At 40.1% G+C, this 22,995-nt stretch overlaps 1 protein-coding gene and 1 non-coding gene across 7 annotated transcripts, besides 3 other annotated features; one reads left to right on the forward strand and one right to left on the reverse strand.

Annotated features, from left to right (window-relative positions):
- On the reverse strand, window positions 18–104 carry MIR4522 (microRNA 4522). The gene has a single exon (NR_039748.1). It is a non-coding gene; the product is annotated as a microRNA 4522 (primary transcript).
- Window positions 41–250: a silencer, noted in NCBI's record as "silent region_8322". NCBI's record gives its function as "represses an Ori minimal core promoter by ATAC-STARR-seq in GM12878 lymphoblastoid cells {active_cell/tissue: GM12878}" and the evidence as "EXISTENCE:reporter gene assay evidence [ECO:0000049][PMID:35858748]".
- Window positions 222–22,034, forward strand: WSB1 (WD repeat and SOCS box containing 1). Of its 6 annotated transcripts, XM_017024434.2 has the most exons (10): window positions 222–543; window positions 3,295–3,416; window positions 7,896–8,064; window positions 9,475–9,743; window positions 10,888–11,019; window positions 12,890–12,990; window positions 15,208–15,380; window positions 16,169–16,282; window positions 17,617–17,724; window positions 18,318–22,034. In XM_017024434.2, the coding sequence occupies exons 6-10, from the start codon at window positions 12,895–12,897 to the stop codon at window positions 18,475–18,477; spliced, it is 651 nt and encodes a 216-aa protein (XP_016879923.1). In that variant the 5' UTR covers window positions 222–543; window positions 3,295–3,416; window positions 7,896–8,064; window positions 9,475–9,743; window positions 10,888–11,019; window positions 12,890–12,894; the 3' UTR covers window positions 18,478–22,034. The 6 variants fall into 6 exon arrangements, 5 of the variants coding, with proteins under 5 accessions (XP_016879923.1, NP_056441.6, NP_001335279.1 ...); NR_145520.2 differs by lacking the exon at window positions 3,295–3,416 and having other exon boundaries at window positions 13,852–15,380; NM_015626.10 differs by lacking the exon at window positions 3,295–3,416.
- Window positions 371–430: an enhancer, noted in NCBI's record as "active region_11893". NCBI's record gives its function as "activates an Ori minimal core promoter by ATAC-STARR-seq in GM12878 lymphoblastoid cells {active_cell/tissue: GM12878}" and the evidence as "EXISTENCE:reporter gene assay evidence [ECO:0000049][PMID:35858748]".
- Window positions 441–500: an enhancer, noted in NCBI's record as "active region_11894". NCBI's record gives its function as "activates an Ori minimal core promoter by ATAC-STARR-seq in GM12878 lymphoblastoid cells {active_cell/tissue: GM12878}" and the evidence as "EXISTENCE:reporter gene assay evidence [ECO:0000049][PMID:35858748]".
- Window positions 22,035–22,995: the final 961 nt, after the last annotated feature.

Raw genomic sequence — 22,995 nt, forward strand, 5'->3', positions numbered from 1 at the left:
TATTAGACCATCCAGGCCCAGAAGACGCCACCGGCCTACAGGCAGAGTCAGCGGAACCAGCCTGGGCTGGATCTCCCCCTGCGAGGCCCCCAGGCAACGCCCGCGCCGGGCCGGGGAGATCACGTCCCGTGCGTCGGGAGGCGGGGGCCTCGGGCTGTGACGTCACGTGGCCGCGCCCCTGCCGCCCAGATATCTCCGGCGCCGCCCGCCATTTTGACTCCAGTGTCTCGTTTGCAGTCGGCGCTTTAGGGGAACTGTCTTCCTCCGCAGGCGCGAGGCTGGGTACAGGGTCTATTGTCTGTGGTTGACTCCGTACTTTGGTCTGAGGCCTTCGGGAGCTTTCCCGAGGCAGTTAGCAGAAGCCGCAGCGGCCGCCCCCGCCCGTCTCCTCTGTCCCTGGGCCCGGGAGGGACCAACTTGGCGTCACGCCCCTCAGCGGTCGCCACTCTCTTCTCTGTTGTTGGGTCCGCATCGTATTCCCGGAATCAGACGGTGCCCCATAGATGGCCAGCTTTCCCCCGAGGGTCAACGAGAAAGAGATCGGTGAGGATTGGGACCGTGGGTGGGCGCATGAGGGCCGAGGAGAGGCAGGGACTCCCCGGAGGAGGTTTGGGAGGAAGCGACTCCAAGTCTGAGGGAAGAGCTCCAGTGCGCCAGGGCCAGCCCACTAGCGAGGAGGAGGAAGCCGCCTCGGTGGGAGTTGGCTGAGGGGTAAACGGCACCGACGTGGATGCAGCACCTACTGTGCTCCCTCGCGGTTGCTGTGTGGCTGGGGCGGGCAAGGACCCCGGTTTCTTCGTCGGAGGTCCGCGCAGGGCTCTTGTCCTGGGAGTTCTTGGCTCAGGGCATGACTGTCGAGTGGACAGGGAAGGGCCACTCAGGGACTTTAGGTTTACAATGGGGAAAAGTAAACTTGTGGGTTGTAAGCGGTAATGAAAGGAGGGGGTCCTCGTGTGTACCAACCACTCTTAGATAGAAATGAGATGGAAGAGGTCCCAACAGCCTGGCAAAAGCAATACAGTATTTTTAAAATGGTGTGGCCTTAAGAAACGCAGCGGTTCGGGGGAGGAGACTTTTAGAATTATCTTTCAAACACTTAAGGGAGGAGCTGGGTGGTTGGGTGGAGTGACAGAAGGAAAGCTTTTGTGCGGAAGAGGAAACTCTGGAAAAGGCTTTTCTGGCTTAGTGTCTAGCCCTGGTCGGCTTAGTAAAGGGCAATTAGTGTTGAAGGTTGTGCGTCCACACCTACTTAGTGGCTCAGTGGAAAGCACGTCGCATTATTTAAATCCTCTTTTAAAGTAAAATAACTGGAACAACGTTTGACGGTGTTGGGGGGTGCTGTACATTGGCTGATAACACTTAGCAAACACTGATCTTACTGTGTGAAGTAATAATTAGCTGCGGCCGCTGAGCAGAGAGCATTTACATTTTCCTACTCTTGAAGTGAATGTGTGCCTTTACTAAGTACAAGGAGGAGTTATTTCTAGAGAAGGGAAGAGGCTGAAGTAGCCAAAACGCGCACTATTTTGTATGTGGGTGAATTTTTATATCTAGAAACAGCTGTTTTAGAATTCTGGACTTTTGTTGTCTTAGGGATGATTGATTAGGAAGGGACTTTAACCCTGGTTTTAATAACCATTTTTAAAGATACAAACACAGAAAAAAAAGGGAAAAAATTGTAGCAGAGTTCACACAGAAAAAAGAAAAAAAAAGATGCAAAGAACACAGAATTTGTGTCCAGTTATTATTTTAACTGTATTTTAAGACTAGAAAGTATGTCGCGAAGTGGGACAAAGAACTCAAAAGTTCTTATCAGTCCAGTGGGTTTTTCTTTTACTTTAGTACACCATAATGTTATAGACGAGTGATCTGCCTTTTTTTTAAATCTGTATTTTACTTCATCCTGATAAACCATTTTGAAAACTTTGCGGTCCTGTTTTCTCTCTCTCTTTTTTTTTTTTGAGATGGAGTTTTTGCTCTTGTTGCCCAGGCTGGAGTGCAATGGCACGATCTCGGCTCACTGCAACCTCCGGCTCCCGGTTTCAAGCGATTCTCCTCCCTCAGCCTCCTGAGTAGGTGGGATTACAGGCATGCACACGCCCGGCTAATTTTTGTGTTTTTAGTAGAGATGGGGTTTCTCCATGTTGGTCAGGCTGGTCTCGAACTCCCGACCTCAGGTGATCGCCCACCTCTGCCTCCCAAAGTGCTAGGATTACGGGCGTGAGCCACCCCGCCCAGATTTCCGGTTTTGTTTTCTAAGAGATGGATAGAGATGGATAGCATACCTACATAAAGTAGAACCATCCACTAAGTGTTCCCCCACTAGCCCCCTGATTTCTCTTTTCTTTTCTTTCTTTTTTTTTTTCATATTTAGGTCTCAGTGTTATTTCCTGGATACGTTATAAAAACTTACTAGCTAAGTGCCAGATATCTAGAAGAACTTTTGCTTTTTCTGAGCTTTTTTTAACCCCAGTTTTTTTCTTTGTTTCTTTTTTTGAATTATCATTTGGATACAAGGTTGAACATTTCTCTGCGTAGCTTTTTAAATCTATGAATAAGGATTTACTTTTTTTCTTTTCTTGGGTGTTAATTAAAAGCCAAGCCAAGTTTAGTTTCTCAAGGACATACGGAGAGTAGAGGCAAGATTTCCATGAATGATTAAATAATTCTGTGATACTACTGCCTTGAGCTACTGCCCTTTTTCACAAGGCACTGCCACAGATCATCCCTTTCTGGTTATGAAATTTTGGGGAGGAATGTAAAGAAGGAGCTAAATCTGGTTTGCTTGGTTCAGCAGTGACTCAGATGGTATGTTACTGTTTTACAGATATTAATAATGTAGTGTTGTATCTTACGGCTGATTTCCCATGGCAGCCTTTCCCTTAATAAGGTCATTAAATCATACATTTCTGTTGCTAACATTAAACAGTTACAGATAATGTAATAAAGGTTTAACTTAAAAATTTTTTTTCAAAGCACTTTATTACAAACTTTGTGCTAGGTTTATAAAATTGTACCAGTATTTAATCTGAGCACTTAAATCATTTTATTAAAGTGCCAAAGGCAATTTGATATACCTGTTATCCAGCAAAGAAACACAAGGCAATTATTAGTAAATTTTAACAGATTAATGCATTTATTTGGTAGGTTTTATAATGGCTCTATTTCTTGAGTTTGTATATATTTGAGAATTATGTTATAAATATGTTATTATTTCATTGTCTTTGCTATCTATTTGAACCAATTTTTTAGTAATTGTTACCGCTCTTTTACTTTTTTTTTTGTTCCTTTGAGACTGAGTCTCGCTCCGTCGTCCAGGCTGGAGTGCAGTAGCGCAGTCTCAGCTTACTGCAACCTCCACCTCTCGGGATCAAGCAGTTCTCCTGCCTCACCCTCCCGAGTAGCTGGGATTACAGGTTCGTGCCACCACACCTGGCTGATTTTTTGTATTTTTAGTACAGATGGGGGGTTTCACCATGTTAGCCAAGCTGGTCTGGAACTCCTGACCTCAGGTGATTCACCCTCCTCGGCCTCCCAAAGTGCTGGGATTACAGGCGTGAGCCACTGCCCCCGGCCTACTCTTTTTTTTTTTTTAGACAGAGTCTTGCTCTATCACCCAAGCTGGAGTGCGGTTGTGAAATCTTGGCTTTCTGCAACCTCTGCCTCCTGGGCTCAAGCAATTCTCCCACCTCAGCCTGGTACTACAGGTGCATGCCACCACACTCGCTAATTTTTTAAATTTTTTGTAGAGATGAGGTCCCCTATCTATCCCAGGCTGGTCTCAAACTCATGGGCTCAAGTGATCCATCCACCTTGGCCTACCAAAGTGTTGGGATTACCAGTGTGCCTGTCCTATTACCACTATACACAAGGAGTTCCATGATTGTGGTCAAGGTAGAAGAAAAATATAGAGTAACCTTAAAATACAGTCTAGGCTGGGCACGGTGGCTCATGCGTGTAATCCCAGCACTTTGGGAGGCCGAGGTGGGCAGATCACCTGAGGTCAGGAGTTCAAGACCAGCCTGGCCAACATGGTGAAACTCCGTCTCTGCTAAAATATACAAAAGTTAGCTGGGCGTGGTGGTGGGCATCATGATGGTGCATACCTGTAATCTAAGCTACTCGGGAGGCTGAGGCAGGGAGAATTGCTTGAACCCGGGAGGCAGAGGTTGTAGTGAGCGGAGATCATGCCACTGCACTCCAGCCTGGGCAACAGAGCAAGCCTCCGTCTCAGAAAAAAAAAAAAAAAAAAAAAAAGTCACGTATGAAAAATTTAAGTCTTGCTTATGCTTGCTAAGGGAGAGCTTAATTTTAGTCTCATTTACTAGATGTTCTTGAAATTGAATGCAAGGGCTGTTCCTCGTATACAAGTTACATAAATATTCTCCATAGAGACTTTTAAGTTGAATTTTAAAACTTGCTTCCCTTATTTGTGAACTTAGCATTTTTTTCCTCCTAAAAATGCTTGTAAAATGTTTTTAAAATGCTTTAAAAATGTTTTCAAAGATAGATGTGGTTAAACAGGAATCCAAGTTAAAAAAAAAGTGTGCCTGATGCAGTGGGTCATGCCTTAATCTCACCGCTTTGGGAAACCAAGGTGGGAGGATCGTTTGAGGCCAGGAGCTGGAGACCAGCCTGGGTAACATAGCAAGACCCTGTCTATAAAAAATTGTTTTTTTGCCGGGTGCGGTGGCTCACACCTCTAATCTGAGCACTTTGGGAGGCCGAGGCGGGCGGGTCACAAGGTCAGTAGTTCGAGACCAGCCTGGCCAACATGGTGAAACCCCGTCTCTACTAAAAATACAAAAAATAATAATAATAATTAGCCAGGCATGGTGGTGCACGCCTGTAATCCCAGCTACTCGGGAGGCTGAGGCAGGAGAATTGCTTGAACCCAGGAGGCGGAGGTTACAGTGAGCCAAGATCAAGCCACTGCACTCCAGCCTGGGCGACAGAGCAAGACTGTCTTAAAAGGAAAAAAAAAAGTTTGTTTTTTGTTTTTGTTTTTTTCAGTTAGCCAAGTGTGGGGGCATGTGCCCGTAGTCCCTGCTACAGCTACTCAGGAGGTTGAGGCAGGAGGATCATTTAAGCCTACGAGTTTGCCTCTGCACTCCAGCCTTGGCAACAGAGCAAGACCCTGTCTAAAAAATTAAGCAGGCAGGGGTTGCAAATTCAGAGGCCAGGCATATAAAGAACCCTGGTAAAAGGAACAAATAAGGCTGTAGGTTTGGGAAAATTGTAAGGAAACCTGGAGCAGCATGCTCTTTCTGAAATCATTTGTATGTTAAAGGTATCTGCAGGCATTTGAGGGTCACCAAGTTTGTGAATTTTGTATTAAGAAAGTTATGTGGCTCACATCTGTAATCCCAGTACTTTGGGAGGCTGAAGGTGGGAGGATCACTTGAGCCCAGGAGTTTGAGACCAGCCTGGGCAACAAAAGGAACACCTACCTTTACAAAAATAAAAACATTAACCGGGTGTAGTGGTGCATGTCTGTGGTCCCAGCTACTTGGGAGGCTGAGGCAGGAGGATCGCCTGAGCCTGGGAGTTCAAGGCTACAGTGCGCAGTTATTGTGCTACTGCGCTCCAGCCTGCATGACAGAGCAAGACCTTGACTCAAAAAAACAAAGTTATGTGACGGCTAGTAAAGTTAATGTCATCTTATGCTGTGCTAATATGGGGTGGGTGGGGGACTCTGCTGCTTTGATTAAACCACACCTGAAGTATTGTGGTTAGTTCTGGGTGCCACTTTTATGAGGGCCAGTACTAACTAGAATTTATCCAGAAAAGTATGATGAAGTTAGGATGGGAAATGGACTTGAAACCATGTGATCTAAGGTATGATTGAAAGGATAGAGATCTCTTAGCCTGGTAAAAAAGATTCATTGATGGCTATCTTCAATATATAAATGCCATATGAGGATAGCAGCAGGCTTATTCTCTTAGGTCAGAATCAGTACTGAGTGGGTAGAGTGGTAGGAGGAAGATTTTGAGTCATTAAAAACGGTCTCAGTTGCACCAAAATAGTGTAAGCCTTATTATGAATATCATAGAAAAGTAGGTCTCAGGCTTTTTGTTTTTGCTTTCTAAACCACACCTATTTGTTAAGGTGTCAAGAATTGGGCAGATAACATATTTAAATCACTTTAGAATGGGAGCATAAATGTGTGCTTTCATATTCATTCCGTAAATATTTACTGAGCACCTGTCATATGCCAGGTGCTATACTAGCTGTTGATGGAGCATACATTCAGGCTGAAGAAGTACATTTTGGGGGTGGGTGTGTCCATGTCCAGGTTCTCTAGCTATATCAGTGTAAGGGGTTCTTATGTGAACAGCAATAACATAGAATATATTAAAGCTTAGGTGTTGGAAAGTTTAAACCAGAAATACATAAAAATATATTATTATACAGTGTACAATTGACCAGACAACTGACCACAAAATAGGTAATAGGGAAAATTAAGACCAACCCAAAATAGGTGATACACTGATAAAGAGGCTCCTTTCCCCAAATTGAGGAAATTGTAGCTGAGTTTGCATGCATGCATTGCAGTATGAGCTTGTTGATCATGCTTTTTGTTAAATATGGAAGTAATATTCTCCATATACTCTGGTAATATGCCAATTTTTGTTAGGAATACAAAATTTGAGTAATCTGAATTTAAAATATATGACATTGTCCATTTTTTGTCCTTAAAAACCAAAATAATTCCATTTTTGAGTCAGTTTGAGGCCTATTAGGAAGACTCTTAAGGACCAGTATTTGAGAATCACAAATATAATGCATTTTGGTTTTTTTTGTTTTTTTTTTTTTATGACAGTCTTGCTCTGTCACCCAGGCTGGAGTGCAGTGATGCAGTCTTGGCTCACTGCAGTCTCCACCTCCAAGATTCAAACAGTTCTTATGCTTCAGCCTTCCAAGAAGCTGGGATTACAGACACACTCCAGCATACCACCATGCCCGGCTATAATGCATTTTCTTTTATTTTAGCTTATTTTTTTTTTGAGATGGAGTCTCACTCTGTCGCCCAGGCTGGGGTGCAGTGGCACTTTCTTGGCTTACTGCAACTTCCGCCTCCTGGGTTCAGGCAATTCTCCTGCTTCATCCTGGGATTACAGGCGCCCACCACCACGCCCAGCTAATTTTTGTATTTTTAGTAGAGACAGGGTTTCAAACCATGTTGGCCAGGCTGGTCTCAAACTCCAGACCTCAAGTGATCCGCTTGTCTTGGCCTCCCAGAATGTTGGGATTACAGGTGTGAGCAACCACACGCGGCCTATAATGCCTTTTTAAAGCACTGGTTTGGAGGGTTGGACTAGACAACCTGTAAGTCTCTTCTAGTTCTGAGGGTTTTGTGATTTTTGTGACCTGGGCCTGAAAAGGGTAAAAATACTTGTTTGGATAGTGTATTTTGTAGTGCTTTCCTTTGAGTAATGGTGTAATATTGTATTTTATGGTGAGGTATGGTTTTTGAAAGCTAAGAAACTTAATTTGGAAGATACTTTTCCTGCCAACTAAGTTTAATTTCTTGCATTTTAAATGTTAATAATTTGATGAGAACGTAATACAATGCAAAAGTTAGGACTTTTGTAATTGTTAGGTCTAATTGGTCATTACATTATTATTGACCAGTTTTTTTTACGGAAACTTTCTTAAAAACTCTTGCATTGGGAAATTTTAGGGAAATCACTTTATCAAAACTTGGAGATAGTCATTATCGTTAAGGGGTCTTCATATACTGCATACCCCCCGTTAGAGGATGGAATGCAGAACTCACTATACCCTGTCTGCATAGAAGAGGGAAGAAACTCAATCCCAAAGTAATATGGAAGCAGTCTCACATGTATTGTTGGTTATATATGATATCCAGTATTTTTATTTTTCCTTTTAGTGAGATTACGTACTATAGGTGAACTTTTAGCTCCTGCAGCTCCTTTTGACAAGAAATGTGGTCGTGAAAATTGGACTGTTGCTTTTGCTCCAGATGGTTCATACTTTGCTTGGTCACAAGGACATCGCACAGTAAAGCTTGTTCCGTGGTCCCAGTGCCTTCAGAACTTGTAAGACTGTTACTTTTCTGTATTTTGTATCTGTTTGTGGAATTTACCATTTTCTCTCAGTGTAGGGTAATAAAAACATTTTGATATTTAAGTTTTACTTTATAGATGATGTCGTGAGTTTTAATCATGGGCTGAATATATTTATTGGAAATTTTGTGTAAAGAATTCTTTGGGCCGGGCGCGGCGGCTCAGGCCTATAATCCCAGCACTTTGGGAGGCCAAGGCAGGCAGATCACTTGAGGTCAGGAGTTTGATACCCGCCTGGCCAACATGGTGAAACCCCATCTCTACTGAAAATACAAGAACTAGCTGGGCGTGGTGTGGCACACCTGTAGTCCCAGCTACTCGGGAGGCTGAGGCAGAAGAATTGCTTGAACCCAGGAGCCGGAGGTTGTAGTGAGTCGAGATAGCACCACTGCACTCCAGCCTGGGTGACAGAGCCAAATAATGTCTCAAAAAAAAAAAAAAAAAAAGAATTGTCTGGTGTTATTTATACATTAAGTTTTTCTGTATGTTAAAAGTCAGATTGTGTCTAACAAGTGTATATATATATATAGTGTTGTGCCAGAGTAGGTGACTTCTGTGATGTGAAGCTTTTTGGATTCACTTTGGATTTTACATTTTGTTGGATAACCCTGGTGCATAGTAGTAGAGACAGGGGTTTCACCGTGTTGGCCAGGCTGGTCTCGAACTCCTGACTTTAGGTGATCCACCCTCCTCAGCCTCCCTAAGTGCTGGGATTACAGGCGTGAGCCACCGAGCCTGGCCCTTTGTTGTTGTTGTTGTTGTTTTTGTTTTTAATGGACTTATAGTCCCTCTGTTTGGGGTAAATTGAGTTTGGATGTTTGTTGAAAGTTTTTCTAAAATGTATCATGTGCTATATTGGATCTTTCCCTGTTTTTTTTGTGTCTAGCAGACCTTCATGGTTATAGTCACTAATGTTCTCATTACATATAACTTGAGGTCTGGAACCTATGGGAAACTGATCATTATGGTTTGAGGATTTTTTTCCCCCTTTAAGGCAATTTTCTGATATCAGCTTGACCATATCTTAAGTTACTGGGTTTTTTTGTTTGTTTGTTTGTTTTTTGCTTATTTATACTTGTGTTTTTAGGTTGAAGGAGCACCAGTTGATTCGGTGGTTTTGAGGAAAATTTGGGAGGCAAATAAGTTATAATATAAATTGCTTTATTGTTGAACTTACTACTCAGTCACTGAGAATTTCTATTAATGTCCTTCTCTCGTAGTTCAAATATCAACCTTTCCCTTCCTATCTATAGGATTCTATTGTTATTTGGTGTCATTATAATAATATTGAGGTTATTTTAACAAACACTTGTAATTATTCAATGTCCAGAGGAGTCCAGAGTGAATAATAATACAATTTCCATCTGACTTCCCCCACTCCAGTCTCTTGCATGGCACCAAGAATGTTACCAATTCAAGCAGTTTAAGATTGCCAAGACAAAATAGTGATGGTGGTCAGAAAAATAAGCCTCGTGAACATATTATAGACTGTGGAGATATAGTCTGGAGTCTTGCTTTTGGGTCATCAGTTCCAGAAAAACAGAGTCGCTGTGTAAATATAGAATGGCATCGCTTCAGATTTGGACAAGATCAGCTACTTCTTGCTACAGGGTTGAACAATGGGCGTATCAAAATATGGGATGTATATACAGGTATGGATTCATAGTTTTTAAAGCAAATGTATTATTTTATGATGCAGGGCACTGCTTATAGGCACTGGAATTGGGATTTGAGGATTTCAGCTTACTGAAAAGCAAGAATTGATGGCATAGGTGCGTCTTTATAATAGACCTGAATGTCACCTTCTTCAGCTCATGATTTTAATTTAGGAAAACTATGGAGTTCATATTGCTTCATCACTCTTTAGAGAGTATTACAGTAGGAAAGGGTTTTCCAGGGAATGTTTAGTTAGTTGTCCTTTATAAACTAGTTATTTAGTTAATGACTCACATGTCAAGGTGTTTTCTTTGTTTATGCTTTTTCAATGATTGATAGCTTAGAGGTTTTCGAGGTAAATCAGATTTCAGTAATCATCTCACCTTGGAAAGGTTTAGTGAAAGTTTAGATAGATTGAGAAGTTAAATTCTTTGGGCAACTAGAAATAAATGTGTTGCTTATTGCCTAAAACACTTTCTGGCATATAATATGTACTCAAAAACATAAAGGATTTTTAAAGAAGCATTAAAAGAACATGTACATTAGAACATAACAAGTGATACTAACATAGGTGATAATGAGTCAAAATTTGGGTTCTTGAAAAAAACAAGATGAACACATAGATTGTCTTAGAAAACAAAGCTCTTACATTATTAGTTAAATACATTTTTTTTCACTGGGATCATGTTTGAAAACTAAAGTTGTGGGATAACTTGTATCTTTTGAGGAGCTTAACATTCCTAGGCCAGGGAAATAACAAGCAAAGAAATAATTTGATTTTATATTTTAAAGTTCATGCCTGTAATTCCAGCACTTTGGGAGGCCAAAGCTGGGGGATCACTTGAGCCCAGGAGTTTTAGACCAGCCTGGGCAACATAGTGAGACTCCATCTCTCCAAAAAAAAAAAAAAAAAAAAAAAAAAAAAGGCCAGCCGTGGTGACTTGTAACTGTAGTTCCAACTATTTCGGAGGCTGAGGTAGGGGGATTGCTTGAACCCAGGAGGTCGAGGCTGTAGTGAGCCAAGATTACGCCATTGCACTCCAGCCTGAGTGACAGAGTGAGACCCTGTCTCAAGAAAAATAAGAACAAAACAAAAATATATTAATACTGTCTTTTTTTTCCCTTTTCTATCATATTTAGGAAAACTCCTCCTTAACTTGGTAGATCATACTGAAGTGGTCAGAGATTTAACTTTTGCTCCAGATGGAAGCTTGATCCTGGTGTCAGCTTCAAGAGACAAAACTCTCAGAGTATGGGACCTGAAAGATGATGGTATGTCTTTTTTCCAAGCTATGAACTAGGATTTGTTTCTTGATACTACTATGGAGAGGTATTGGGAACATGTGGGGCATTTGACTTTAAAAATGACATGTGATCAAAGTTCCTTTTCTCTGCCTTAACACTTAGGTTCCTTTCCTGAATAGATCAAAGAAAAACATAAATGTGACCCAGAATAGGAGCCAACAGTTATTCGAAGTAAATGATCTGATATTATTCAGAAACTAACCACATAAATCTGTATCAACTATCTGAGGACCAAATATGGATCAGGTTTGGGATTTTACAGGAACCAGTCTGTGTTTATGTCCTCTTAGGGAGGGTTATTAACTTACTGTATTGGCTGAGTGAAAATTTAGGTAGGTCTTGAAGTAACTTAGTATCTAATAAAATTTAAATTGAAACATGACCTACATACCAGAACTTATAACATGTGAATATTAGTAAACGTTAAATTGGCTAGGTTAAGAAGTGCTTTTATAAAAAGTGAAAGATTTACTGTCCAATACAATAGAAAGATACGTTGGTGTCAAGTACTCACCTTTCTCTAAAGCCTTACAAAGTTTTGGAGATGCTACCTCATTTGAGATGAGCATCTCTTCCCTTTCTCAGTCCCTAATGAAAGAGTTTATATGTTTAACTAAAACCTTAAATGTAAGGTCTGTTGGTGCTCTAACAGCCTCAAGCTGGAGGTTAACAGGCTTGCCTAGGGGTAATAAAGCTTAAATTGAATTAGTAGGAAACAAAACCCTCAGATCTGGAGATGTTCCAGCTGATAGATAGTAACCATTCCTTAATAAAGTTCTATGCTAACATTAACAAATCATGAAGGACCTTCTCTGTGTTTTATCTGCTCAGCTGTTGAGGTGCAAAGGGATGCCAACAGTTGAAATATTTTAATAATTTTTTTATTTTGCATATCGAATGATGCTTGCTTATCTCAAACTAATTTCAGCAATGTACATGTTTTAAGAACATAGTCTTAGTAAAATATAAGCTCCAAGATAGTGGGGTCCTTGCCTTATTTCCAGTTATATCCTCAGTGCCGGCATAGGGCCTGGCATGCGTAGGCACTCAGTAAGTATTTGTAAAACTAAGAGTTCAGTATACTTAAGCATAGTTGTGTGCTGTGGGTATAATACACAAGGACTTTGGAGTGAGTTGTAGGTTCTCAAAAATGAAGAATGAAAAGGCATTTTGAAGATGGTCAAGTTTCTTAACCTTGCTGTTGTGTTCCAGTTGCTTAACTTTTAAAATAAGGGGATTGGACTAAAAGAATTCTGTCTTTTTTTTTTTTTTTTTTTTTTTTTTTTGAGATGGAGTCTCGCTCTTTCGCCCAGGCTGGAGTGCAGCGGCGTGATCTCCGCTCACTGCAGCCTCTGCCTCCCAGGTTCAAGTAATTCTTGTGCCTCAGCCTCCCAAGTAGCTAGGATTACCGGCATGCGCCACCATGCCCGGCTGATTTTTTAATGTTTTTTAGTAGAGATGGGTTTCACCCTGTTGGCCAGGATTGTCTCAAATTCCTGGCCTCAAGCAGTCCACCTGCCTCAGCCTCTCAAAGTGCTGGAATTACAGACAAGAGCCACCGCGCCAGGCCCCAGACTTTTTCTTGAAGGGCTAGATGTTGAATATTTGAGGCTTGTGAACCATGCTGTCTGCTGTAGAGCACAACATAAACACATGGACAGGATTGTGTTCCAGTAAAATTTAAAACCTAAGCAGCTGGTGTATATCGGTAACCCTTGTTATAGATAAATTGCTTTCAGCTATAAATGTTTGTGATCCTTTGCTTTACTGCTGTTTTGAAATACTGCTCATTTGAAGTGGATTCTAGGGTTAATACAGATTATTTCTTTTTGTTCAGGAAACATGATGAAAGTATTGAGGGGGCATCAGAATTGGGTGTACAGCTGTGCATTCTCTCCTGACTCTTCTATGCTGTGTTCAGTCGGAGCCAGTAAAGCAGTACGTGTCAAAGTTCTTGTACATTCATTATGAATTGGATTATGATAATGTGTGCATAATCATTTTAAATCTAAGTAACCTATGAAGTCTGTGCTCGGTGTCATGAATATTTTAAATGTTTTATTTCATGATGGGGGAGAATTTGCATGAAGGAAATTAAATATAGTTATTGATTGCCAAGTGAGAAGTTGGATTGTTTTTAGAGATAATAGATAATAATGGGCATATCAGGGTTTTTTTTTTTTGTAAGTCTAGAAAAGTTTATGTGCTGTAGAAGAGATCTAGTCTATATGTTAAGACATTCCCTTGCTAATTATTTTCTTCTCTGTTGTTCTATTTTTTTGGTCCAGTTTGCTGTTTTTAAAGTTTTGAGTCCCAGCTGGTCCTGTACATTTAACTGAAAAAAAAGTAACTTAAAATAATATAAAAATAGCACTCATGTATGTCCTACAGTTATAGGTGAAATTTGATATTGTTTGTCTTACATAGCATACCTATAGACAGCTTAAGTAAAGTGACTGTTAAGAGGGTTATGCTTATTGATGAACTCTTGTAGTTGTTTACCAGCTCTGTTAGTATAGTTAAATTGATCTCAGTAGCTTCAAGTATTTATAAAATGGTTGAAGTCCAAATACATGTGATAATTACAATACACTTTGAATTAATGGAGGGTGGGAGGCTAGTTGAAATGCATTTTATTTACCCAAGGAGTATGTTAAAATGATAGTTATAAATGTTGGAAGTTTAAAGCAAGATACTCAGTTTAGTTCTTTACAAATCATAAGAAGAACAAAATTAGATGTTGACATTGCTATTTTAGGCTGTGTGTTTTCCATATGCTTCTTGCTTTCCCTGTCACAGGTGGTGGCAGCAATATTGGTGTGATTGAGGTTATGCTGGCACCACTCGCACACAGGCGCACAATGGTGTTAGCTGGGCAGAAAGAGTGGCATCTCTGGCTACCGGGCTGGGGGCGACCTTTACCATAGGATGAAGTAACCTTGCATTCGGCTGCAAGGTGTACTGTACGTACACAGGTGCTGGTCGATGTCCACTTTCTGCTTTTCTTTCTTTCTTTTTTTCTTTTTTAAAGTAATTTCCCCCACAGTAAAATACACTGACTCCTGAGTAAATTGATTTTCCAGTTTTATGGAATTGGGAGTCTGACAAGTGAAACCAATTTAATGTAAAGTATTTGGCTTTCAAATGGTTTCTCTGTGCTATTTTTTGGAATTCTTTCAGATTCCAGAGATATCTTACGTCTTTGATTCAATTTAAAATTTGTACTTATTTTCTTTTAGAAATAATGTATTGTGTCTGTGCAGAAAAAAAAAAAACCAAAAAGGATTGCTTTACTCCAAGAGGAGAGATTGTCTTAGGATAAACCTCCAAGCTCACATTTAATATAACAGACTGAAGTAAACATTAGAATCCTGTTTAGAGCTATTCTGCACAGTTAACTACTGATCTTTAGAATCTAAAATTGTATATGAACTTATTCTTAAATAATTGAACCGTTTTATATTCAAATGACTTATGATCGTGGTTAGTTTGGGAAAAATAAGATGGTTAAATTTTGATTTATTGAAATGTAATTGTATTATTTTCATAAAATAGCATTTTCATTTTGTAATGTGGTTTAACATCCTTGTTGTTTGCCAAAGAAATTTCATTTGGCTGTGAATATTCTATTTGCTTGCAGTATCTGTTTCTCTTCCTAGGCTCAAGTTGGTGACCCAAGCCTATTGTAAACAAGTGATTATCTCAAAGGGAGATGCCAATGGAGTAACAATTTGTTAACCTTACGTTTTCTGTCTGTATATTTTTTTAAAAATCTGGTAGTTTCTGGAAAAAAAAGAGAAGGGGGTTTGTAGTACTTAACCCTATTTATTTCCGTATATTTTAGTTAATTAGTTTTTGGAATAAATGGATTTCAGTATAGCTTTGTGGTTAAATTGCATTGCCTTTATTTTATGTTTAGGCTTATTTTTAAATTAACATTTAACAGAAACATTTGAAATAGAATTTGCATGTCTGCCTTAATTAACTTAAAGACTGATTTTAATCTGACTATGACACTGAGCATATTCTTTAAATTACTCATAATTTATAATGCTTAATATAATCTTAATTAAATTTAGCAGTTTTAGTATAAGATGTGCCATTTTGTCCTCTGTATGTCTGAATGAAGCTATAACATTTGCCTTTTTATTGCAGGTTTTCCTTTGGAATATGGATAAATACACCATGATACGGAAACTAGAAGGACATCACCATGATGTGGTAGCTTGTGACTTTTCTCCTGATGGAGCATTACTGGCTACTGCATCTTATGATACTCGAGTATATATCTGGGATCCACATAATGGAGACATTCTGATGGAATTTGGGTGGGTACAGCATGAATTATTTTAGTCTATAATTCATCTCCACCTATCAAGTTATGTGAATAATTACAATCACCAATATATGCAACCTAAAATTACAGTCTATTCTAATTTAAAATGTTGGTATTATTTAAGCCCTTGACTAATGGAAAGCCTTCGATATAAATTCTAAAAGTAAATTTGGCTCTCTTGATACAAGTCTTGCTACTTAACAGTACCCAGCTCTCTATAGAAGTACTAATTATGTTTAGAGTTTTTGTTGGAGAAAAACAGTTAAAACCAAAGTTGGACTTAATCTTACTGTCTTAAATCATAAAAGATTTTTTTTTTTTTTGACAGAGTCTTGCTCTGTCGCCAGGCTGGAGTGCAGTGGCGCAATCTCAGCTCACTGCAACCTCCACCTCCTGGGTTCAAGCAGTTCTCCTGCCTCAGCCTCCTGAGTAGCTGGGCTTACAGGCACCTGCAACCACCCCTGGCTAATTTTTGTATTTTTAGTAGAGATGGGGTTTCACCATGTTGGTCAGGCTGGTCTCAATCTCTTGATCTCGTGATCCACCTGCCTTAACCTCCCAAAGTGCTGGGATTACAGGCATGAGCCACTGCGCCCGACCATAAAAGATTAGTTCTTTTCAGGTGACTTTAATTTGGATGTATCATCTCTACTGAGTCTTCTCAGTTATATTAATTAAGGCTACTTTAAACACTATTCAAAGACAGATGTACTTTGTACCTGGGTAATTTTGTTTTCTTGAAGTGACTGATATCCACTGAAAACATATATTTGACCTCAGGCACCTGTTTCCCCCACCTACTCCAATATTTGCTGGAGGAGCAAATGACCGGTGGGTACGATCTGTATCTTTTAGCCATGATGGACTGCATGTTGCAAGCCTTGCTGATGATAAGTAAGTATGTGCATTATAGCTTGACTGACTTACTATTACCTTTTACATTCTTAAGCCTTAAAGCCTTTCTGCAGTTAAGAGTTTTAATGTCTCTTCCTCAACACAAGCCCCTGGGAGATTTTGTTGTGTCTTAAAGAATATCGGCCTGAACAATTATCTGTGTAAACTAAAGATAATGCATGCCTCTCCCTGTGTTCCTTGTTTAACTTGTTTAGGCATAGTGGGTTGATTTTTAGTCAGCTTTTAGCCCAGCTTACAGAGATTTTTTAAAGTAATGTCTTAACAAAGGTTGAAGCAGAAGGAAATTTCTAAAGTGAAACAAATAGTAAAACCAAAAGAATTACAAATAAATAGTAATTTGTATCCACCATGATTGAGATTAGAATATGAAATGTCACATGAATGATATGTGCTGCTTGTTGGTAAGAAGCAGAAACTAGTTGCAACCATCTGTGTTCATGCATATAGCATTGAGTAGTTCGGTGACGTCAATTCATAAGGCAGCTCTTCTCTTCCCAGAATGTTAGCAAACATATGGAGAGAGGTTTTTTTTGTTTGTTTGTCTGCAACCATTGTTTCCTGTTTGCTCAGATAGATTCTGCATGTTAGTTCTCTGCTGTATTTGTAGACACACTCAGCCTGGGTGAAAAGCTTTTTTTCCTTTCCTGGTTTTTTTTGTTTGTTTATTGGAGACAGGGTCTTGCTTTGTTGCCCAGGCTATAGTGCAGTGGTGCAATCACATCTCACCACAGCCTTGATTTTCTGGGCTCAGGTGATCCTCCCACCTCAGCCTTCCGAGTATCTCACACCACAGGGGTATACCACCACACCTGGCTAGTTTTTTTAAAAAATTTTTTGTAGAGACAGGGTCTCCCTATGTTGCCCAGGCTGGTCTTAAAAGTCCTGGGCTCAAGCAGTCCACCCACCTCGGCCTCCCAAAGTGGTGGGATTATGGTTGTGAGCTACCAGGCCCACCTAGCTTTTAAAAATGTCTTGGGAAAAGGGTGAAACAGACTAGAAGTTGATTGTATTGTAAGTGTAGGAAAGTAAGGAGAAAGTTTCCGGGTGTGAACATTCTAGGTTTGAACACTGGGAAGGAGGGAAGGCAGCCATGCATTGTAGTCTCTTAAGTGAAAGTTTATCCAATTTACCAACTGATATTATAGACCTTAAAATATTTTGTAATTGTATAAAGCAAGTTATTATAATTGCCTGTTGGTGTGATGTGTGTATTTTGTGACTCATAACTCAATGGCATTTCTTTCTAAATTTTAAAAAAGTTGCTTTTACCTTACATTTTCTACAAGATACTAAATAATTTATTTCATTTTCAGAATGGTGAGGTTCTGGAGAATTGATGAGGATTATCCAGTGCAAGTTGCACCTTTGAGCAATGGTCTTTGCTGTGCCTTCTCTACTGATGGCAGTGTTTTAGCTGCTGGGTAAATATATTTTTCTCTTTTTTTTTTTTTTTTTTTTTTTTTTGAGATGTAGTCTCCCAGGCTGGAGTACAGTGGTGCAATCTCTGCTCACTGTAGCCTCCGTCTTCCAGTTCAAGGAGATTCTCCTGCCTCAGCCTCCCGAGTAGCTGGGACTACAGGTGCACACCACCAGTCCTGGCTAATTTATTTGTTTGTTCGTTTTTCCAGTAGGGTCGGGATTTCACCATGTTCGCCTGGCTGGTCTCAAACTCCTGACCCTGACCTCAAGTGATCTTCCCGCCTCAACTTCCCAAAGTGCTGGGATTACAGGCGTGAGCCACCACACCTGGCCCATTTTTCTCTTTTCTTTAAGGGCCAATTTAAGGGGGCTTTTAGCAGCTAGTAATTTATTGTCAGTAAAACTCTAATAAGTGTTCTTCATAGTAGTGTTACCTTGTCATGGAATACATCATTGGTTAGTTCTTCCTGGTTGGGTTTTAATGTGAAGTTTGTGACTCCACTACTCACATGTATTGGGTGATAGTTGTTTGAGCTGTAGCAACACTGAAATACATATACTTGGGTGACTAAGCATGTGCTTTGTTTCTGTTTAGGACACATGACGGAAGTGTGTATTTTTGGGCCACTCCACGGCAGGTCCCTAGCCTGCAACATTTATGTCGCATGTCAATCCGAAGAGTGATGCCCACCCAAGAAGTTCAGGAGCTGCCGATTCCTTCCAAGCTTTTGGAGTTTCTCTCGTATCGTATTTAGAAGATTCTGCCTTCCCTAGTAGTAGGGACTGACAGAATACACTTAACACAAACCTCAAGCTTTACTGACTTCAATTATCTGTTTTTAAAGACGTAGAAGATTTATTTAATTTGATATGTTCTTGTACTGCATTTTGATCAGTTGAGCTTTTAAAATATTATTTATAGACAATAGAAGTATTTCTGAACATATCAAATATAAATTTTTTTAAAGATCTAACTGTGAAAACATACATACCTGTACATATTTAGATATAAGCTGCTATATGTTGAATGGACCCTTTTGCTTTTCTGATTTTTAGTTCTGACATGTATATATTGCTTCAGTAGAGCCACAATATGTATCTTTGCTGTAAAGTGCAAGGAAATTTTAAATTCTGGGACACTGAGTTAGATGGTAAATACTGACTTACGAAAGTTGAATTGGGTGAGGCGGGCAAATCACCTGAGGTCAGCAGTTTGAGACTAGCCTGGCAAACATGATGAAACCCTGTCTCTACTAAAAATACAAAAAAAAAAAAAATTAGCCAGGCGTGGTGGTGCACACCTGTAGTCCTAGCTACTTGGGAGGCTGAGGCAGGAGAATTGCTTGAACCCAGGAGGTGGAGGTTGCAGTAAGCCAAGATCACACCACTGCACTCCAACCTGGACAACAGAGCGAGACTCCATCTCAAAAAAAAAAAAAAATTGTGTTGCCTCATACGAAATGTATTTGGTTTTGTTGGAGAGTGTCAGACTGATCTGGAAGTGAAACACAGTTTATGTACAGGGAAAAGGATTTTATTATCCTTAGGAATGTCATCCAAGACGTAGAGCTTGAATGTGACGTTATTTAAAAACAACAACAAAGAAGGCAGAGCCAGGATATAACTAGAAAAAGGATGTCTTTTTTTTTTTTTTTACTCCCCCTCTAAACACTGCTGCTGCCTTAATTTTAGAAAGCAGCTTACTAGTTTACCCTTGTGGTATAAAGTATTATAAATTGTTGTGAATTTGAAGAATCCGTCTACTGTATTATTGCTAAATATTTTGTTTATACTAAGGGACAATTATTTTAAGACCATGGATTTAAAAAAAAAAAAAAAAACTCTGTTTCTGCAGGGGATGATATTGGTGAGTTGCCAAAGAAGCAATACAGCATATCTGCTTTTGCCTTCTGTTGTTTATCTTACCTGCAGATATTAAGAATGTATGCATTATGTAAAATGCTCAATTATATATTTTTGTTGAGTTTTTTAATTAAAGACTTGTAAAAAAAAAAAACAGTATATTGCAAATGTTTCTTAAATAGGTTAGGTGGAGTACTTTCTCTCTGTCTCCATTGTAAGGTTGATGGTACACCACAGGCAAATTAAGCAAAAAGGACAATGAAGAAAGAATGCAGGACTCAGGCGCTGCTCTAGAATTCATTCAGGGCTCCCCGAGTGCAGCAGCTCTTATGGTGGTTTTGTTTTTAGGAGAACTGTTGTAATAATGCATATTTTAAAAGCATAGGGAAGCTCTAGAACACAGGAAGGTGACTACTAAGCAAGAGAAAAGTATCTTTTAGTGGGGAACTACCAGCCTATAGTAAGTCTATCTGGTTAAAGTAGTTATTATGAAAATCTAGCAGTCTGGGTCCTTTGAGAAGGCATTAAAAAAGCAAAACTCTTATGAGCCATGTGTGATTTTGAAGACTCATTTCCACTGAGAAATTATTTGGAAGTTCCTATGGTTAGCTCTGTTAAGGAATGTAAAAATTTATAGGGGGTGTAGGGTTATCAATTTGAAAGCCAGTAGAAAATCTGCTCAAGTTACTTCTTGAGGATCATCTGTATTTTACAAAAAGAAGCACAAGAAGCATCTAATCTTTATACTTCTTGTGACTTTTTTTCCCCTGCATTTTACTTTGTAATATATCGGCTTTATAATTTTAAAATACACTGGCCGGGCGCAGTGGCCCACACCTATAATCCCAGCACTTTGGGAGGCCAAGGCAGGTGGGTCACTTAAGGCCGGGAGTTCATGACAAGCCTGACCAACATAGTGAAACCCCTGTCTCTACTAAAATTACAAAAATTAGCTGGGCATGGTGGTGGGTTCCTGTACTCCTAGCTACTTAGGAGGCTGAGGCAAGAGAATTGCTTGAACTGGAGAAATGGAGGTTGCAGTGAGCTGAGATCACGCAACTGCACTCCAGCCTGGGTGACAGAGTAAGACTCTAAATAAATAAGATACCATTACTTTTCATATCATTGCATTATTTTTGCTTTCCACACCAACATATCCAGTCAAGTAAAAACAGCTTTTTTTATTTTTTATTTTTTATTTTTTTTGAGACGGAGTCTCACACTGTCACCTGGGCTGGAGTGCAGTGGTGCGATCTTGGCTCACTGCAGCCTCCACCTCCTGGGTTCAAGCAATTCTCCTGCCTCAGCCTCCCAAGCAGCTGGGATTACAGGCGCTCCCCCACCACGCCCAGCTAATTTTTGTTGTATTTTTAGGACAGACGGCGTTTCACTGTTGGCCAGACTGGTCTCAAACTCCTGACCTCGTGATCCGCCCGCCTCGGCCTCCCAGAGTGCTGGGATTATAGGTGTGAGCCACCGAACCTGGCCCAAAACAGCATTTTTGGAAGCTACATTCTGTGAGATGTTCACCTGTTTGCCACCTCTTCTCGTGAAAACCATAGTGAGTGCCAGTGTGAAAGGAAGATTGCAGCGTATATGTCAAGTAGAAACATGTTTGAATTTTCCATTTGTCTGTGGGGAAGAAGGTAATAACAGTAATAACAGACTGAAGGACCAAAGGAAAATAGGGAAGACGTTGATTATGGACTTGGATCAGATTCTAGCTACATGATTTGAAAATGACACTGCCTCTCCTATTTTGCCACAAGCCTGTCATTTGGAGAACTGGCAGATCATTTATGTTCAGATTTAATTTTCTGTTTTAGAATCCCATGGAGTACATGTGAACATAGGAAAATCACACTCAGCAGCCAAGCTATCCTTTTGCGATAATGAAATCACTTTAAAACCTATAACTTGATCTTAGGTTGGCAAATCTTAAACTTAACGATCCTTGAAATTTCCTGCCTGCTGTGACTGTGATGCAGTTGGATTCAACTGGTTTACACTGCTCTTGGGTCGGCAAGACCAAAAAAGGTTGGACTGCACTGTAGCATGCTTATGGGTTGAGGCAGTGGCAGAGGCAGAGGACTTGGCCGTCAGCCAGCCAGCACAGGCGTAAGAAAATAGCATGAGAAGTTTCACGAGCCTGAAACCATTGAGACAGTGATTACAACCTCCATATTAATCAGATGAGGGTTTGTAGGTGACATAGCATTTTACCCAAGTAATTCTGAACAGACTGTGGCTTATGATAATACATTTTAACTAGCAAGTGTGTGGACTATAAAACAAATATCTAGAGTTATATATGGATGTACTATCATTTGGTGATAAAAGCATAGAAAAAGCATAAGTTGGAGTATACTGGGTTTTTTTGTTGTTGTTAAATTCTTTTCCATCAGAAGTAAGAGCTGTTGGCAGCAACTAATAAAATGCAACCTAGTGACATGCTCGTCATAACCTTGGCAGATGTTTATGGTAAGATGCTTGGAAGGAATGAACGTAAGTAGGCAATCTCAACCTGCCCTTTGATCCATAAAGCATTCTTTAGCCACCAGCAAAAATCTGGTCTGAGCCAGGTATAAAGTGACCTGTTTTATTACAGGTGGGTGGGGTAGCTTTGTGTGGTTGTTTTTTGACATTATGTATGCTTTTATTTTTTACTTTGAGGTAGGATCTCGCTCTGTCACCCAAGCTGGAGTGCAGTGGTGCAATCTCAGCTCACTGCATACTCTGCCTCCCCTGGTTCAAGTGGTTCTCGTGCATAAGCCACCTGAGTAGCTGGGATTACAGGCGTGAGCTGGGCCAATTTTTGTATTTTTAGTAGAGATAGGGTTTCATCATGTTGGCCAGGCTCGTCTTGAACTCCTGGCCTCAAGTGATCTGCCCATCTTGGCCTCCCAAAGTGCTGGGATTACGGGCATGAGCCACAGTGCCTGACCAGTCTAGGCTTATCTTAACAGTTGAGGAATCAGAAAATGATTGAATAGGGCTGGAATTGGAGAAGGAAAAAATGATTTAATTCAATTTTTATCAACTCCAGCACTATTTTCTCTATTAGAGACTACTGTCATTATCCTTCTGGTTTCTGTTTTAAAGATACTGATTAAGGAATTTTCTTTATAGTTCCACATAACAGTTGGTCTTCTGGTCTGAAAGTAGTATTACAGGTTTTGTTAGGAAAACCTATAATACAGTGTTGCCTGTCACCGTCATTATAGTGAGTTTGTGTTTGTTTGGTTTTAAATAAGGCTGAAGCATCAATGGCTCTTTCTGAAAAAATTGTTCTCCAAAAGTAAAGTGTGAGCTATAGAAATCATCTAGAACAGGGGTGTCCAATCTTTTGGCTTCCTTGGGCTACATTGGAAGAATTGTCTTGGGCCACACATAAAATACACTAACTGATG

The sequence above is a fragment of the Homo sapiens genome, chromosome 17 (assembly GCF_000001405.40).
Source record: "Homo sapiens chromosome 17, GRCh38.p14 Primary Assembly".
Classification (NCBI taxonomy): Eukaryota; Metazoa; Chordata; class Mammalia; order Primates; family Hominidae; genus Homo; species Homo sapiens.

Excerpts from the sequence above, each read along its gene's own strand:
- WSB1 (NM_015626.10), top strand. The coding sequence starts at position 504 with ATGGCCAGCTTTCCCCCGAGGGTCAACGAGAAAGAGATCG. Across the intron at positions 11,020-12,889 it reads ATGGGACCTGAAAGATGATG|GAAACATGATGAAAGTATTG; the intron begins GTATGTCTTTTT and ends CTTTTTGTTCAG. Across the intron at positions 17,725-18,317 it reads GGCAGTGTTTTAGCTGCTGG|GACACATGACGGAAGTGTGT; the intron begins GTAAATATATTT and ends GTTTCTGTTTAG.